Source organism: Homo sapiens, chromosome 2 (assembly GCF_000001405.40).
Source record: "Homo sapiens chromosome 2, GRCh38.p14 Primary Assembly".
Taxonomy (NCBI): Eukaryota; Metazoa; Chordata; class Mammalia; order Primates; family Hominidae; genus Homo; species Homo sapiens.
Window position 1 is genome coordinate 10515674 of NC_000002.12, and position 1670 is coordinate 10517343.

Here is a 1670-nt window from a genome sequence, read left to right on the forward strand (position 1 = left end):
GTGGGCCTCACAGAGCCCATTATTGCACTTATACTTGCTTTGCTCATCCCCTGCAAGAGCTCAGAGCTCCATGTTCCAGGATTGGATGAGTAATATCAGCCCCTTGGACACACCATTGGGTCACCCTGCCAGTAAGAGACAGATTTGTGATAGCCACTCAGTTCGAACATTTTTTTCACTTTTATTTTTATTTTTTGTCCTTGGCATTTGTTGAGCTTCTTTAATGTATGGATTGACATCTTTTGGTTCATTCCAAAAAATTATCAGACATTATCTCTTTAAATAATAATTTTGCCCCCATCTCCCTTGCTTCTCCTTCTGGAATACCCCCTAAATGTATTTAGACCTTCTCACTCTATCCTCCTCTTTTTCATGATTTTCATCTTTCTGTTGTTCTGTGCTATCATTTGGATAATTTTTTCTGACCCATCTTCCAGTTCACTAATTCTCTCTTTGCCTATATCTAATTTCCTATTAAATCCACCTATTAAATTTAAAGTTTCAGTTATTATATTTTTCATTTTTATAAGAAAGATCTATTTGATTTTCGAAAAACCTGCCAAATCAGTTTTTTCATAGTTCTCTGTTTCCTGCAAATATCTTTAAGCTTGTATTGTTTTTTCAACATAACAATTGTATAATTTCTTTCCTATTATTTCATTATATGAAATATTTGGGAGTAGTTTAGCTGTTTGTTTTTTCTGCTTATTCATGCTCATGTTGCCTTATTTCCTTGTGTGCTTCCTTATTTTTCACTAAGTGCTGCTTGCTTTCTTTTCTTTTTTCTTTTTTTTGAGATGGAGTCTCACTCTATCACCAGGCTGAAGTGCAGTGGCGCAATCTTGACTCACTGAAACCTCCGCCTCCTGGGTTCAAGCGATTCTCCTGCCTCAGCCTCCCGAGTAGCTGAAACTACGGGCATGCTCCACTACACCCAGCTAATTTTTGTATTTTTAGTAGAGACGGGGGCTTCACCATGTTGGCCAGGATGGTCTCAATCTCTTGACCTCGTGATCCACCCGCCTCGGCCTCCCGAAATGCTAGGATTACAGGCATAAGCCACCATGGCCAGCCTGCTTACTTTCTTGAGATATTACTTGATGATAATTCTTTGAGATCTCGGATGAATGTGACATCTGCCTGAAAGAATTTGCACTTGCATCTGCCATGCACCTAGGGACACTTCCACTCCAAGATCACCTTCATCTGAATTTGTTCCTGGAAAATTTCTGGGCCATTCAGGGGGTGTGAATTTGGGTACCAGTCTGCACAAGGGTCAGTGTTTGGATACAGCTTCACAGAGATGAGCTTTTCTCCCGCTCTCCTCAGTGCCAAGAAACATTTCCTTGTTATTTCTAAAGGGGGGTTTGAGGGAGAGAATGCAAAAATTTACTTCGGGTTCATGCTAATCCTGGGTGTGTAACCCTTTAGAGTTCTAGCATAATGGGCTAAAGATCTTCTGGTTGGTTCTCAGCCTTACATGGATTCTGGGATTGGGATTCTGATTCTCGGCTTGAAATTCTGACAGGTGAATTTTCTTCTAAGCACAGTGATTAATCTATTGGCAGTGCACTAAATCTTGGAAAATTGTGGAAGGAGACAAGTCTCCTTGAAATGAAACATGACATTCTTCTTGCTACATCAGATATGGTTGGTTCTTGCTCAGGTTA